The sequence below is a fragment of the Homo sapiens genome, chromosome 2 (assembly GCF_000001405.40).
Source record: "Homo sapiens chromosome 2, GRCh38.p14 Primary Assembly".
In the NCBI taxonomy this organism is placed as follows: domain Eukaryota; kingdom Metazoa; phylum Chordata; class Mammalia; order Primates; family Hominidae; genus Homo; species Homo sapiens.
Window position 1 is genome coordinate 169992860 of NC_000002.12, and position 16888 is coordinate 170009747.

At 38.0% G+C, this 16888-nt stretch overlaps 1 protein-coding gene across 1 annotated transcript in view, besides 1 other annotated feature; it reads left to right on the plus strand.

Moving 5' to 3' along the window:
- The window catches only part of UBR3 (ubiquitin protein ligase E3 component n-recognin 3), a 256678-nt gene that overhangs the window by 165406 nt on the left and 74384 nt on the right, over positions 1 to 16888 (plus strand). Inside the window, exons 26-29 of the mRNA NM_172070.4 lie at positions 1464 to 1597; positions 8445 to 8555; positions 14131 to 14331; positions 15945 to 16081. Of these exons, the coding sequence (NP_742067.3) occupies positions 1464 to 1597; positions 8445 to 8555; positions 14131 to 14331; positions 15945 to 16081 (583 nt within the window). The remainder of the gene's footprint in view (positions 1 to 1463; positions 1598 to 8444; positions 8556 to 14130; positions 14332 to 15944; positions 16082 to 16888) is intronic.
- Positions 14120 to 14414: a silencer, noted in NCBI's record as "tiled region #15130; HepG2 Repressive non-DNase unmatched - State 15:Elon". NCBI's record gives its function as "represses a minimal TATA promoter and a strong SV40 promoter by Sharpr-MPRA in HepG2 cells {active_cell/tissue: HepG2}" and the evidence as "EXISTENCE:reporter gene assay evidence [ECO:0000049][PMID:27701403]".

Consider the following 16888-nt stretch of genomic DNA (forward strand, 5'->3'; position numbering starts at 1 on the left):
AAGCAATTCTCATGCCTTAGCCTCTTGAGTAGCTGGGATTACAGGTGTGCACCACCATACCCAGCTAAATTTTTTATTTTTATTAGAGATGGGGTTTTGTCATGTTGGCCAGGCCGGTCTTGAACTTCTGGCCTCAAGTAGTCTGTCCACCTTGGCCTCCCAAAGTGCTGGGTTTACAGGCATGAGCTACCACACCCAGCCCAAGGATATTCTTTTACATAATTATGGTACCATTATCATTCCTAAGAAATGTAACATTAGTAACATCAAATACTGTTTATATTCAGATTCTCTCAGTTGTCCCTGCAATATTTTTTGTTTCTTATTTACTTGATAAATAAAAATTGTACATATTTATGGGGTACATAAATGTGATATGATATTTTGACATGTATACATTGTGGAATGATTAAGTCAAGCTAATTAATGTATATACCACTTTACCATTAGGCTGATTAACATATACACATATACACTTATATCATTTTTTGTGGTCAGAGTCAGTAATATTTTTATAGCAGATATTTCTTGATCCACAATCGAATAAAAGATCATGTATTGTTTTTCATTATCATTTCTTGTTAGTCTCCTGTAATTTAGAACAGTTTCTCTAGCCCCTTTTTAAAGTTTCAGAGTCCAAGTTGGTTGTTCCATAGAATATCTCAGAGTCTGGATTTGTGTGATTATTTCCTTGTTACTAGATTGAAGTTAAACAGTTTTGGCAAGGGTATTATACAGGTGATGTTCCTTCCAACAGCATTACATCAGGAGGTTCACTGTGTCAATTTGTCCTATTGTGGGTGGTGCCAACTAAGTTTGATCCCTTGGGTAAGGTAGTAGGTAATCTATAGGATGATACGTTAAGACTCTACTCACCCTTTTACCCTTTTATTTGATTTTCCTTGCCTGGGTCAGTGAACGTATTGTATTATCTATTACTATTATTATTCTTTTTAATATTCAACTTTTCTCAGATTTTACCAGAACTCCAGGTCTTTATAAATCTGCTCCCTCAGTGTTTGAACACTTCCTTGCTCTTTTTAATCACACATCCTTCCGGGCTCACCTTGCACTTTTCCCCAACCCCGGACTCAGCTCTTTCTCCAAGGATCTCTTCTTCCTTTTAGTGAGAAATAGTATATTTAGAAATAAAGTTTGTGAATACTGGAGAGTTATATCATGTAGGCTTTTTCAGTGGACAGATTTAGGAACCCATCCATCCATCCATCTTGAGTTTATAATCATAGTTCAGTGTTAATTTTTTAAAGTAAATATTGGCATATGTGAAGCTTTATTTAGCCTGTAGGAGAAAACTAGAATACCACTTTTTTGAGGGGTCTTTAAAAATATTCTAATAGTGAAATAATTTGAGTTGCTTGTGGTAAATAACTCAGCTTTTCTTGGAGTTACAGGTCTATGGCACTGATTATTTTTGATTAATGAGCTTTTATCTGTTAATGTAGTTTTGGGGCAGTGCCGTGACAATGTTGAGCCAAAAAAGTTGCCGATCAGTGAAGAGGAGCAGATTTACCCTTGGGATACCTGTGCAGCCGTTCATGATGTGAGGCTTTCATTATTACAGCGTTATTTTAAGGATGTAAGTACTCTTTATAAAATAGTACTTTTGTCTGCCAAGTTGATGGTTATTTCCCTCCAGAATTTTACATGTCTTTTACCAAAATGGCATTCTGATGTTAAATTTGAAAGTTTATTAGAAAAAAATTAATATGTGGATAGAAAGAAATGGAAATCTGTTAATAAACATTTCAGGTAATAAATGTGATACCTTTGTTTTAAATGTTGTTTGTTGTGTGATACACACATTCAATTAAGTGGAATGAAGAGTACAGCAGGTCCTTAAATAACGTTGTTTCTTTCAACATTGTTTTGTTATAATGTTGATGAGAAAAAAATAAATTCCCTACTGGGGCCACTGTCAGTGGGGAATTTATGTGTTCTCCCCATGTCTTTATGGGTTTTGTCTGGGTATTCCAGTTCTTCCTACTTCTCAAAGATGTGCTGCACATTAGGTTAATTAGCATGTCTAAATTGTCCTGGTATGAGTCAGTATGGGTGTGGATGTGAGTGTGTCCTGCCATGGGATGGGGTCCTGCCCAGGGTCGATCCCTACCTTGTGCTCTGAGCTGCGGGATAGGCTCCAGCCACTTATGACTGTGAACTGGAATAAGTAGGCTGGAAAATGAATGAAATAATGAAAACATATTAATTTTTTTAATTTATAAATTTATAAAGTATATGATAAAGTAAAAATTTATAAAGTATATGATAATTATACAGCTGCATAATAACGATGTGGTATGAAAGGGCTCAGTGAACCCGCATATTTGTTATTGTTTGTTTTTAAACTGCATGGTAATAGGAAGTGCTCTTTAACGATTTTCACTTTGCAAACATTTATTCCTTAATTTAACCCATCACCACTACTACTGACAGCACTCATTGTTTTGTCAAAAATTGGGTAAATCGTTATCTTGTTTTTATTAAACTTTCTCAAATGTATGCATACTCCGCATTTATTTCAGTGTTTCGTATTAGAAATGTTTTAGGTCTTTAGAAGTTTTGATGATGTTTTTGTAATCAGAAATATACTACAGGAATTTAACTCTTGTTTATATCAATTAACCTGTGGTTAAATTAGTTTTGTTCCACATCATCTGCTTAAAGTCACAGTTTCCAAGAACCTACTGATAACATTAAAGTGAGGACTTAATGTATTAACTCTGTAGAAACTTTTATTATGGTAGGAATGTTGTATGAAGATTTTTGCCTCCCTCTTTTACTTTCATTTAAAGATATATAATAAAATTTCATTATGATACTTTTAAAATGTGAAGTAAGGATGGATTTGATTCATATCTGCTACGACTTCTTACAAACTTAGTAGTTTTTTTTCAGGCTCTGACACTCAGAAGTATCTGAAGGCCTTCAACATAAACTTTAGTAGCAGCAGCATTGTTAACGTCTTTTTAAAATTTCTGTATTCCTTTTGATGTTTCCTGAGTGGATTATCAAATGGGGTTTCCTTTCTCCTGTTGTAGTTTTTTAAATCTACTGTGTCTTGAATTAAATAAATGTAAGATATTAGCTTAAAATATAAAGTAAAACATTATTTTTAGTTAGCTATATAAGATGATTATATGGATAGATTTCCAAATAGAACTTCTTTCTTGCCCATAAATCCATTGGTTGAAGTGGAAGAAATTAGTAAGATAAGTGGAAGACAGAATACATAATCAGAATAAATAGGAACTGACCTAGTGATGATAAGAGCCAGAGTAGAGTCTGGTTCCTTAATATGCTAGGCTGACAAGAAGGTTTCTGGTGGCTTCTGCAGGAGCTGATGGACCTACAGGGAGGTATTGTGTAGAGTAGAAAGAGTCCTAGACCAGAAAAACTGGGGTTTGGTCCTGATTCTGCCATTTCTGAGCAATGTGAGCTTGGCCAAATCCCTTAAGTGGTCTGAGACTCAATTTCCTCATCTGTAAAATAGGGCTGATAATGATCTTTCATGCAGTAATCACCAGGTTAGGGTTCACTCTGCATATAGGTCACTCTGCATATAATACAGGTCAATATAAATGTAAAGTGATGTTTTAAATATTCAAGCTATCCCATTTAGGAAGGCTAGGTTAGGCCTGTTAGACAGTTTGGGTTAGGTAATAAGGGTCATGCTTCCGTATATTTTCAGAGACTTTAAAATGAAATTATGGTTATTTTGTAGCAGTCTCTGTATGTGTGTGTGTATAAATACACGTATGTGTGTACACATATTTTCACACTTTTTTCTTTGTTCTTTATTGCTTTGGACTTTTGTTTTTTTTTTTTTTTTTTTAGATAGAGTCTCACTCCATCGCCAGGCTAGAGTGCAGTGGTGCGATCTCAGCTCACTGCAACCTCTGCCTCCTGGGGCCTGGGTTCAAATGATTCCCCTGCCTCAGCCTTCCGAGTAGCTGGGACTACAGGCGCCCACCACCATGTCCGGCTAATTTTTTATATTTTTAGTAGAGACAGGGTTTCACCATGTTGGCCAGGATGGTCTCGATCTCTTGACCTCGTGATCTGCCCGCCTTGGCCTCCTAAAGTGTTGGGATTACAGGCGTGAGCCACCATGCCCGGCCTGCTTTGGATTTTTTTTTTTACAGGATACATATATTACTTTATTAATCAGAGACCAATAAATATTTTATTTTCAAGGAAAATTGGGAAACAATGCTAAGTTCTGCTTTTGCAGAAATTTACTATTTAGACTTTATTTAGACTTTATTTTTTTGTCATAACGACACAGGATTCTTTTGGTGCCACTTCACTAGGCAGAAACCTCTGTGGCTGGTGGCACCTCTGCCTGGGCTTCACTCGGGCCCACTGGGCTCACTCTACCCAGGCTGGCTGGCAGGCTGCGCTCAACTCGCTCCCCAGCCTGGATCCCGCAACCACTGCAGCTCCAAGCTCTTCCTGTGGTGGGGCCAGGTGTGCTGCAAGCAGCTTCTATGGCTGGGTGCCAGCATTCAAATGAGGGGGATGCAGTGGCACCCGAAAACTCAGAGACACCAGCAACCACAGAGCCCCAAGGGGGTGTCACAGCTTCTGCTTGGGGAGTGCTGAGGTCTGGGCCCCCAGAAGGGTCACAGCTCTTCACTCCCGTAGTCTAGTGAATGGAGGCATGTCACAACTCTTTTCATTTCCGCTACCCACAGCTCTGTGAGCCGGCCAGGAGCATGTTACAGCCCTTTTTGCTCCTGCCATTTGGTGGGTAGGTTCTTGTCCCACAACCAAGAAGAATGAAGTACATGGACACCAGAGAGTGAGCAAGGCAGAGAAGAATTTTATCAAGTGACAGAAAAGATCTCAACAACAAGAGGGGACCTGAAGTGGGTAGCCTTCTGTGTGAGAGGGGGCCTGAAAATGGGTAGCTGCCTTGTGACTGAGTCCATGGTTTTCATGGTCTCAGAATGGGGGAGTGCATGCTGAATGATCCATGTGTGGACCTGATAAAAGCACCATTTGATTTTCAAGGAAGTTCTCACTCCAGTCATGGATTCTACCTGAAACTGCAGCTCGGTTTTCAGGCTTTAAATTGTCTGTGGTTTGGAGGTTGGGTTTCACCAGGGACCTGGCCCTGTCTGTCTAGGAATTTGTCTGTCTCCTGCCACTATCAATAATCCTGGTTTTAATTTTTATCATTTTTAATTAGACCTGGCCCTGTCTGTCTAGGAATTTGTCTGTCTCCTGCCACTATCAATAATCCTGGTTTTAATTTTTATCATTTTTAATTACTTTAGAGTAAACAGGTAAAGATGAATCCCAACACCAAATAGAAAACTTTTTAAAAATTCAATCAAAATAAACCTAGACCTAAGAGCATAATAATTTTGAGGGAAGAGACGATCTAATAAATGGGAGCAAAAAGTTAGGGTATCTCTTTTTTGCAGCCAGAGTAATTATTCATTTCTAGAAAAAAAATCTTTTTTATAAAAAGTCTCCGAGCTGAAATCTGAGTTGGATTATACTCTGTTGTGTTTCTGTTAGTGATTGTGAGATTTTTATTCCTACATCATTACTTTTGTATGCTTTTATAAGACCTGTTTTATGTATATATGGCATTTTCCCTAGACTGCATACCTCTGGAGGTCCAGGGCTATGCCTCATGTTGATTCAGGGGCTAGCACATGCTATGTGTGTTGTAGATGCTTACTGGGTTTCTTCCTGAATTACTCTAAACATAAGAGTACCAGAGTGGTAGCTGGACCAGACTGTATAGAGCAGAAGAATGACTATCAGTGGGCACTGATATTGATTATAGGATTAAACTGTAGATTCTACTGTCTTCAGATTAAATGCATGCATTTTACAGAATTGACATGTAGAATATTAGTTATATAAGACAGTGCATTCACGGTAGAAACTGGAAGTGTAACACATGGGAAATATGACACAACAGAGAGAAGGAACCTGAGCTGTGGAGTCAGACAGACTTGGGTTTGAACTTATAACTTAGTGATCTTGGTAAAGTTATCATTCCTCTCTTGTAAAAAGGGATAACTCCAGCTTCTTTATGAGGTTTTAGTAATTATTGAGGTTGTGACATTTCAGTGTTAGGCACTTAGCACAGTGGTGGATACTTGAGGTCTCCCTAAAATACTAGTCTCACATTATTAAGTGTTATCCTGCATTTTTTGACTGGCAAACTCAAATGTCTAAAAGTTGTGTAGACGAATGACTCATTGTTTCCAGTTTTAAAAGCTAGCCATTTTTATTAAAAATACAGATTAATTGCCTTTTTGTAGTATAGTGCCAAAGAGAGCAGCTGGTTTATTAACGGACTACCAATCATTCTAAAATGATCTAACTCCAAAATCTGCTTCTATTTCAAGCAGCTCCAAAACATAAAACAAAGATGAGCAGGCCTCCTGTTGTTTTTCTGATTTGTAACAGTAGAAGCCTGCTCACCAGCTGTATTTGATTTATGCAGCTTCACATCTTTAAATTGGCTGGGAAGTCATTTTGTACTATGTAATACACAGTACTTTCAACTTTAGATACTCGTGAAGAGTCTTCATTTAATATCGGAACTTTGTTTACTGTCATTTAAAGATCATTGGTCATCTTACATTATAAAAATAAAATTTAAAGATTGATTCAGTTTTTTAAGCATGTAAGTACATGCTTGTTTGATGGCTCTCAAATCTTTCATCATATGTTGCCAGTCCTGTTAGATCTTGTGCCTTCATATTGCTCTGGCCCACCCATCTATTTACTACAGATTGTAGAGAATGAATTAAAGTTTGGGCCCAAATGCTATTTGACAGAGGCCAATTGATGAAAATTCTAAGAAAGAGATTTTAGGAGAATAAGTCTTCAGCCTATTTATAGATTTAGAGGGAGGAATTAGCAATGAAAGCGAAGTTGAAGATGTAAAAGAGAAAGGAAAGATGAAAGAAAGAAACTTTTAAAACAAATTTGGAGCCAGGCACGGTGGCTCATGCCTGTAATCCCAGCACTTTGGGAGGCCGAGACGGGTGGATCACTCCCTGAGGTCGGGAGTTCGAGACCAGCCTGACCAACATGGAGAAACCCTGTCTCTACTAAAAATACAAAATTAGCTGGATGTGGTGGCACATGCCTGTAATCCCAGCTACTTGGAAGGCTGAGGCAGGAGAATCACTTGAACCCGGGAGGCGGAGGTTGTGGTGAGCCGAGATTGCGCCATCGCACTCCAGCCTGGGCAACAAGAGTGAAACTTAATCTCAAAAAAAAAAACCTCAAAAAACAAAACAAAAAAAAAACAAATTTGGAAAGGATATATAGTTTGCTTATATAGTCTGGGTCCCTTCTTTATTGTATATTATATTAAGACCTTGTAAATATTAAGGCATGTTTTTGGGTTATTCTTGTGACTAGATTTGTACTTTATAAAGCTGTATGGAGGTTACATCATGGAGAGAACAAATTTGAGTTAAGGAGACGAGTTAAGAAACTGTTTAAGAACCACTTCTCCCACTCCGTGGGATATAGACTTGAATATTATGTACTGGAAATGAAGAGGAAAGACCAAAATCATGAATTATTTAGGAGACAGAATCCATATGATTTGGGAACTGATATTGTGGTATGAAGGTAAGAGTGTGATATAGAATGACTCTTGGCTTTCTGACTTGGTGACTAAATAGATTGTGGAGTTATTGAACCAAGAGGAGGGAGATGATTCATGGAGAAGATAACAATTTACGTTTTTGGCACATTGATTTTATATTGTCTGTGGGACATTAAACTGGAGATTTCTGAGTGGCATGAGTACTTGTATCTAATGGTCAGGCAAGAGATCTAAGTTTGCAGGGTAGTCAAAATTACTGCTTAAATCACTAGGAAAAATAGTTTTAATGAGAAGAGACTTGCACTGAGAATAGAACCTTGAGGATTAGAGGAATAGACATTGAAGGGGTAAGCAAAGAAAAAAAGATCCTTAGAAGGAAGGCTGAGAAAAACAGTTAAAGAGGCAGGAACGAAACCGAGAGAGTAGCATTAAACCAGAGGAAAGTAGGCGTTTCAAGAAGTAAGTTGTTAATGTCAGAAATCATAGAGAGATTCAGTACCATACTTTATCTCAGCAACAGTATAGTTCATACTGAACTATAGTGTAATATTGAGAGCATATATTTTATGGAGCGGACAAAGGCTAGTTCATAATATTTATTCTCTTTCATTATGAGTATAGAAGTTTGGGAGCTACAACTTCATGGTATTCCAATTTTAAAGATAGTGCCTGAAGACTATCTAGTCAGGCATTAATTGATATCACAAGAATAGAAACTCCACATTAATATAAAAATAGGAAATCATGCAGAGGTTTATGTGGACATACTAATATTTAAATATGTTTGTACTTCTTTAAAATTAATTGTATTTGTCTTCTTTTTATTTTGAAGAGTTCATGTCTCTTGGCAGTATCAATTGGCTGGGAAGGAGGTGTTTATGTACAAACCTGTGGTCACACATTACATATAGATTGTCATAAATCTTACATGGAATCATTACGGGTAAGTTGATTGCAAAAATTTTTTAAAGGTGCATGTATCTTTCCAGGTATTAAATCTTTTTATAGTATATACATCCCAATTCCAGCTCATCTTTTTAGGTGATTTTGATCATCGTATAAACTATCCAGTCTCACTTTAACACAGACCTGTTCAACTTCAAGGATTTTCATTTTTTAATTTCAGTTTCATTTTAGCAACTAGCCAGACGCAGTGGTTCATGCCTGTAATCCCAGCACTGTGGGAGGCCGAGATGGGCAGATCACTTGAGGTCAGGAGTTCGAGACCAGCCTGGCCAACGTGGCCACCTGGCCAACCTGGCAAAACCCTGTCTCTACTAAAAATACAAAAATTAGCCGAGCATGGTGGTGTGCACCTGTAATCCCAGCTACTTGGGAGGCTGAGGCAGGAGAATCACTTGACTCTGTGAGGCAGAGGTTGCAGTGAGCTGAGGTTGCACCACTGCACTCCAGCCTGGGCAACAGAGAGAGACTCCATCTCAAAAAAAAAAAAAAAAAAAAAAAAAAAAAAGAAAGAAAAATTTTTTTCACTTTAGCAACTGACTTTCATGGCTGCACTTTAGACTTTGCTACTCTCTCTGAAATATTAAGCTTTAATATCCTACCATGTCACCTTATGATTCTCACATAAGTTCTCTTGTCTTCACTCTCATTATTGTGATTTGCCTCTGACATCAAGATCTATAGTCCTTTAACCCTTTGAATTTTTTCCTAGTGTATTAGCTCTTTGCTATCCTCACTTTCTTGTACTATACCCATTCTATTCTTGTCAATCTCATTTAATCAGCCTCCTTTGATTTTAGACCCAGTCAGCTATCCCAGCTTGAAAAGTCATAAAACTAGGTTAATGATTATTATCACAAACTTGTGGCTTCCTATAACAGTGGCTTAGACTAGGGTTATGGGCTATAAATACTGCCTATTAATTCATTTACCTGTCTTTGATCAGTTCCCTCTCCCATTTTCCTCAGCAGCTATTCCAAACCTTTGCCTCCCCAAGATTCATTTCCTCTTAACAGATTCTGTCTCTTCCTTTGTCATTAAGAAAACAGCGTCTGTTGTCACATTCCCTTAGATTCCTATCTTGCTTTTCTGTTCCCTGATAAATGAGTCCAACATCCCAGCCAGTCTTTTCTTTGCTACTCTTTGAGGTAGTACTGTAGCCCTTCTTCTGTTCAGGAATAACTTTTCTGCCTGAGCTCTGGTAGACCTTTCTCCCCAACACCTCAGGGGCCTTAATTCATCAGTAGGTAACTTCTTTTTCTTCTGTATTTTCAGTTTTTCTGCCTCTTCTGCCCCTTCTCAGCTCATCAGGAGCTGAGTTCAAACCTCTCCCATTCAGAATCCTTCCCTGGATGTTACATTTTCTTATTTTCCTATAGCTGAAGACTTCTCTTTCTCCTTCAGTGTAACTTTTATTTTATTTATTTATTTATTTTTGAGATAGGGTCTCACTCTGTTTCCCAGGATGGAGTGCAGTGGCTCGATCATAGCTCACTGAAGCCTTACGCTCCTGAGTTCAAGCAGCACAACTTCTTAAAAGCAACTTCTTAAATACAGGTCTACTATATTCTCATGTTCCTAACTCAGAAGCAGTAGATATCTCTTTTTTCCTTCCTATTCCTCACCTCTCACTTTCAGTCCCTTACCAAAATTCTATTGATTCTGCCTTCTAAATCTCACTTGACTATATTCTACCTTCATTAATCCCACTGCTACTTTTTTGTGTATGCCTTCCTCACTCATCTTGATTATAGGAATTGCTTTCTTACTGATTTCCTTATTCCAGGTGTAACTTATTTACTACATTGAGCTTTCTAAAATTTAAATCAACAATACGTGTTGTTGGCTTAAAATCTCTTGCTGTCTTCCTCCTGATAGGATAAAGTTCACTATTCTCTGAATGGCATTCAGGTACTCCAGGATCTGGTCTTGCCCATTGCTTTAGTGTTGTCTTCCATCAGTTCAACATTAATAAGCTAATTACTAGTTCCTTAAACACATTATGCATTTTTCATATCCCTGTATTCAACTATTCCTTCAGCAATATTTATTCAGTATCTACAGTGTTCCAGATACTATGATAATCATTGTGGATACAATGGTACATAAGGCACAGTTCCTTCCCTCAATGAGTTTACTATGTATTACGTAAGAGAGACAAGCAAACAGTTACAGTACGCATGCTAAATGTTAGGTATACACAGAGTCTTTTTTTTTTCCCCTCCGAGATGGAGTCTCACTCTGTGCCCAGGCTGGAGTGCAGTGGCGCGATCTCGGCTCACTGCAAGCTCCGCCTTCCAGGTTCACGCCGTTCTCCTGCCTCAGCCTCCCGAGTGGCTGGGACTACAGGCGCCCGCCACCACGCCCGGCTAATTTTTTGTATTTTTAGCAGAGACGGGGTTTCACCATGTTAGCCAGGATGGTCTCGATCTCCTGACCTCGTGATCCATCCGCCTCAGCCTCCCAAAGTGCTAGGATTACAGGCGTGAGCCACTGTGCCTGGCCATCTGCCAGGTTCCAGAACATTTTGATGAAGTAAGGTGCTTGAGTGATGAGAGATTAGACAGGATAAGTAGTTAAGGTTTACATTGTAAGGGGCCTTCTGGTCCATTTAAAGAATTTGGACTTTATGTAGATTCCTTAGAGAAAGCCATTAAAGACTCTTAAGCAGAAATATAAAATGTCCAGAAGAGTCATTGTGACAGTTGTGGAGAAAGGGAATTGCAGAAAAGTAAGAAAAAATGTGGTGGGGGCTTGGACTTACTCATGTCTATGAAAATGGAGAGGAGAATATAGATTTGAAATATATTTAGAAGGACAATCTTCTGGAGCATGAGGGGGAAGAAGGAATCAACGTGATAGGTGATGATGACACTGAAAGATTTTGATTGGAAATAACAAAGTCTCACATTAGACATTAGACACTAGATACATTAGGTCATGTAGTGGTATGTTTGGGAGACTACTTAGGAGAGAGATGAGTAAAGGTGATAGAAGAAAGTAGCTGGAAGGATTGATGGGGTTAATTAATTATATATTTGTGATGGGAGAGGGCAGGATGCTGAAGGAGTTGCCATGAGTCTCTTCTGTCTGAGATATGAGGTATAACCTCATGCTCCTAGAGTAAAGGGGGCAGGGGTGGGGAAGGTGAGTGACTTGGCAGGTGAGGAGGTGGTTTGAAAAACCACTTTGGGGGCCAGGTACGGTGGCTCATGCCTATAATTTCAGCACTTTGGGAGGCTGAGGTGGGTGGATCACCTGAGGTCAGGAGTTCGAGACCAGCCTGGCCAACATGGCGAAACCCCATCTATACTAAAAACACAAAAATTAGCTGGGTGTGGTGGCGAGTGCCTGTAATCCCACCTACTCGGGAGGCTGAGGCAGGAGAATTGCTTAAACCCGGGAGGTGGAGGTTGCAGTGAACTGAGATTGTGCTATTGCACTCCAGCCTGGGCAACAAAAGCAAAACTCCATCTCAAAACAAACAAACAAAAAGAAAGAGAACAAGGCTGGGCATGGTGGCTCATGCCTGTAATCCCAGCACTTTGGGAGGCCGAGGCGGATGGATCACGAGGTCAGGAGATCGAGACCATCCTGGCTAACACAGTGAAACCCCGTCTCTACCAAAAATACACAAAAATTAGCCGGGCGCTGTGGCGGGTGCCTGTAGTCCCAGCTACTCAGGAGGCTGAGGCAGGAGAATGGCATGAACCCTGGAGGCGGAGTTTGCAGTCAGCTGAGATCGCGCCACTGCACTCCAGTCTGGGCAATAGAGCAAGGCTCCGTCTCAAACAAAACAAAACAAAAAAACCGGGAAAACCACTTTGGGATTGGATGAGAGAGTGCTTCCTAGGATGTAGAGAAAGAGTGCCAGGCAGTATTCAAGGACAAAGTTGAGGTTGGAAACAGTTTGTAGCAAGAAGGCATTTTATTTTTCTCTGACAACACTCAGTTTGAGTGCAGAATTGGAGACGGCATACATTGGATTAATTTAATATGAAGGCTTTGTTTGGTGTGAATGATGAAAGGACACATAGAGGGCGAGTGGGAAATGTTGCCATGAGTTTTTGAAGTGGTAGACAATGGTGTGCAGATAGGATAAGAAAAACCTGATGAACTGGGAGAAAAAGAAGGGAGTAAAGGAGGTGGAAGTTGGTAGTCAGAATATAAGATGTTTAAATTTAATATTTTCAGATCACGAGTAATTTTGAGTTATTACAGGACAAGGATGTTGTTATGGTAACAGGTGCTGGAGTAGAGTGGAGGCCAAAACTATAGGAGCTGATGAGGTTAAGGAGCTGAAGGACTAAGGTATAAGATTGGTTGTATACATATATAGTGAAACTGCATAGGAAGATGCAGGACTTGGAGTGATGAGGAAAACATATCGAGGTACCAAAGTCTTCAGTGGTTGCAGGCAGTAGGTGGCAGTGAAAAGGAAGGAAAAGGATAGTATTGCTAAATGACATGAGCCACAAAGACAAGGGAATGCAGGAGTAATGATCTGGGGCCAGCACCAGAGGGTGCTGAGATGTGAGAGATGTAGGAGGGTGAGTTGAGAGGGTTTCTGGGGGTGCTTCAGGAGAGAACCCAGCTTCAGTTACAGCAAAAAAGAGTATCTAGCATTCTTTGGAATTAAGGCTGTCAAGAAGCTTATCACAGAATGTTCTTCTGTGACCAGGACCCTTGCCCCAATTTTTTAGCACACTTTTTTGTGTATTTTTAAAACTTAGCTCACAAATCTTCTTCTCTGGAAAGGCTTCTCTGTTGTGGCATTTATCACACTAAATTTATTTGCCTGATTTTGCTTTTAAATCGTGAGTACCTTAAGAAGGAAAAATGTATCTTAACTCTTTATGCTATCACCTTGCACAGCATTTATCACATAGTAGGAGCTTAGTAAATGTTTGTAGAATTGGATTTAGGAAGATATGTTGTTACATTTTTAAGGACTTAAAAAGTTAATGTCAAAAAGTGAAAAATAGAATTCATAGTTCTCTTAGTCAAAGTACTTGAGATGCAAGATATAATGAAATGAGCACTAACTCAGTTGTCCAATCAGTTGTATTTAGCAGTTAGACCCCTTAGAAGTCACTTTTTTTGAGGCTTATTTACTCTTAAAAGCTATTTATCCTAGATCAAAGAACATGAGCATTGGGATAATCTTCCCAGTAGTCAGTTACAGATTATGAAAACAGGGGTATGGGGTAAGAGGAGGGCAACCCACTTTAATGTGGCCTGTTTTTTGAATTATTCTTTATCTTAAATCCACATTTCAGATTAATTGCACCATCACTTGAAAGTTTCATATTGAGAGAAGAGTAAGATACTTAAACAGTGTATTGGTGAGGGCAAGTGTTACGTAATTGCTATGATGTAAGAAGTGATTTGGTGAACTTTAACAGTTAAATGAAGGATTTTGTTTATTTCTTTATGACATATATTAGAGATGTCTTTTTTCTATGGTTTATTAATTTACTATAAAATGGGTGGTATAATTTTTGTTTTCTATGAATGTGTATATCACGCATCTGTATGTTTATTTCGTCTTTTAGAATGACCAGGTTCTTCAGGGCTTCTCGGTGGACAAAGGAGAATTCACGTGTCCACTCTGTAGGCAGTTTGCTAACAGTGTTCTTCCATGTTATCCTGGAAGCAATGTGGAAAATAACCCTTGGCAACGTCCTAGCAACAAAAGCATACAAGATCTCATAAAGGAAGTGGAGGAGCTGCAGGGACGACCGGGAGCTTTCCCAGTAAGCATCAGTGTAAGGCATAAATATCCTGGTTAACTCAGCTCTGATTTTCTGCTTTCATTTTAATTCAGTTTATAAATTACTCTGGACTTTTACATATTTAGTAGAAATTGCTTTTAGAGGTTTTGTTCTCTTCTATTTATACTTAAATAAAAGTAATAGAACAAATTATTATCAAAGGCTATACTTCTCTTTAGGCTAAATTCTGAGTTTTAATATACGTCTTCTAGGTCAAGAACCCCTATAGGTTTAGATGGAGTTAGCCTCTTTTAAGATGTTCAAATAGGCCAGGCACGGTGGCTCACACCTGTAATCCCAGCACTTTGGGAGGCTGAGGTGGACAGATAACTTAAGGTCAGGAGTTTGAGACCAGCCTGGCCAACATGGCAAAACCCCGTCTCTACTAAAAATACAAAAATTAGCCAGGCGTGGTGGCGCTGAGACAGACAGATCACTTAAGGTCAGGAGTTTGAAACCAGCCTGACCAACATGGCAAAACCGCATCTCTACTAAAAATACAAAAATTGGCCGGGCACAGTGGCACACACATGTAATCCCAGCTACACGGGAGGCTGAGGCAGGAGAATTGCTTAAACCCAGGAGCCGGAGGTTGCAGGGAGCTGGGATCGTGCCACTCCACTCCAGTCTAGGCAGCAGAGCGAGACTCCCTCTCAAAATAAAAAAGATGTTGAATTATTTAAAAAACAAGCTATATATACTCTGTGTGTGTGTGTGTGTGTATGTATCTCAATATAAAACACAATTTAATCACTTAAAAATATGCCCATTAGGTATATTAGGATTAAGAAGATATATTTACACAGACATGCACATGTATTTACTGTGTGTATGTGTATTCGAGAGATAAAATATTGTGTAATTGATTGAACTGTTCATCACAAGTCAGACTACTGTAGGGGGGAACTCATCTTTTATCCCATCCAGTAGGATTTGTTTGGTCTAAATTCTTAAAATATTTCACCTTCATAAAAAAAAATTTCACCTTCATTATAGATTTGTGATATGGTCTCTGAGAGAAGTGACAGCTGTGTCTGGTTTATGTAGTAAATTTGTGAAAATTGTGAATATTTGACTTTTGAAACAGAAATGCATACTTTAAACCTAGATAGATTCATCTGGCAATTCCCTTTCTCAAGCGAAGACTAATTTTAGAATTTGTGGTCTTTTTAAAATTTTATAAATCCAAATTCTTATGTGTTTAAAATATGCTTAAACTTACGGGACATTGATATTATTCTTTGAAAAATGAACTTAAATGAAAGTCAGGTTTTTTATAGACATGGAAACTTTGTTCTAACATATTATTTTAATACCATCATCTCATTGGCTTAGCATAATTTATGTGGTTAATTCATAGTTGGATTACAGTGTTACCAGTCACAATGTAGAATTAGAATAAAAGATCACTGTTTAGAGAGTATTTTTTGATTGGTTTAACTTTGTACACTAAATATATTTATAATAGATAATGTTCTGTTTTGACTTTTTAATTTTAATTTCCTACTATGTTCATATAATAAACATTCTAGTTTCAGACCATTATTAAAGAAAGTGAATATAAACTTTATATGTATGTTTGCATTTTTTTATAGTCAGAAACAAATTTAAGTAAAGAAATGGAATCTGTAATGAAAGATATAAAAAATACCACTCAGAAGAAATATAGAGACTATAGCAAGACCCCGGGCTCACCAGACAATGATTTTCTCTTTATGTACTCTGTTGCTAGGTAGGTATATATAGTGTATACTTTTTAGTTTACTTACTATTAATAGTTGATTTTATTATTTAATAAATATTTGTTTTATTTATTTAAAGGATGCATATTTTTAATATCAGTTGAAATTATGGCTAGTTTTAGTGCCTGCTAGGATAACTATAACTGTGCAGCTTTATTTCCTGAAGAGGTTTTATTTTAATGAAATATTTGCATAAATGTTACTAAACATTATAGTACATGGGGGAAAGTATGTTACTAACATTTTGGGGCAGATATGTACCTCGAACATGTGAGTATTATCTATGAGACCTGTCAAAAAGTGATAATACTGAGAACTAAAACGTTGTAATATGTTAAACACTTTGATTTATGGAAAAATAAGAACAGTAAGAAATAGAAGAACTTTGTTTTAAATAGAAACCGAAAAGATCTAGTGATAACCTAAAAGACAGGAGTTTAGAAGAATCAGATAAGGGAGAGGAAGCAAGGGATCAGGCATGTTCTAAACCTCAATTTGTAGTGAGTAAGGGGCTCAAGAAAGCTGTTAGAAGTGAATGTTTCTCATCTTTCAGATTAGGAAGGATTAGTCTAATTGTATGCAATACAGAAGCAGTAGTTCTAAATAGGAATTTTGGAAAACTTGAGTGAAAATGCAGAACCATAAAAGCAGTAAATAGAGGAAAAACAGACACAACTAAGAACTTGTAAATGCATTCTGCCAAAACTGACTCTGTACATCCTTGAATATCTTTGGAAGCATACTTTATATTTTATCTAAGTAGTATTGTAATAGGTAAGATTTAGAGAGGTAATGTG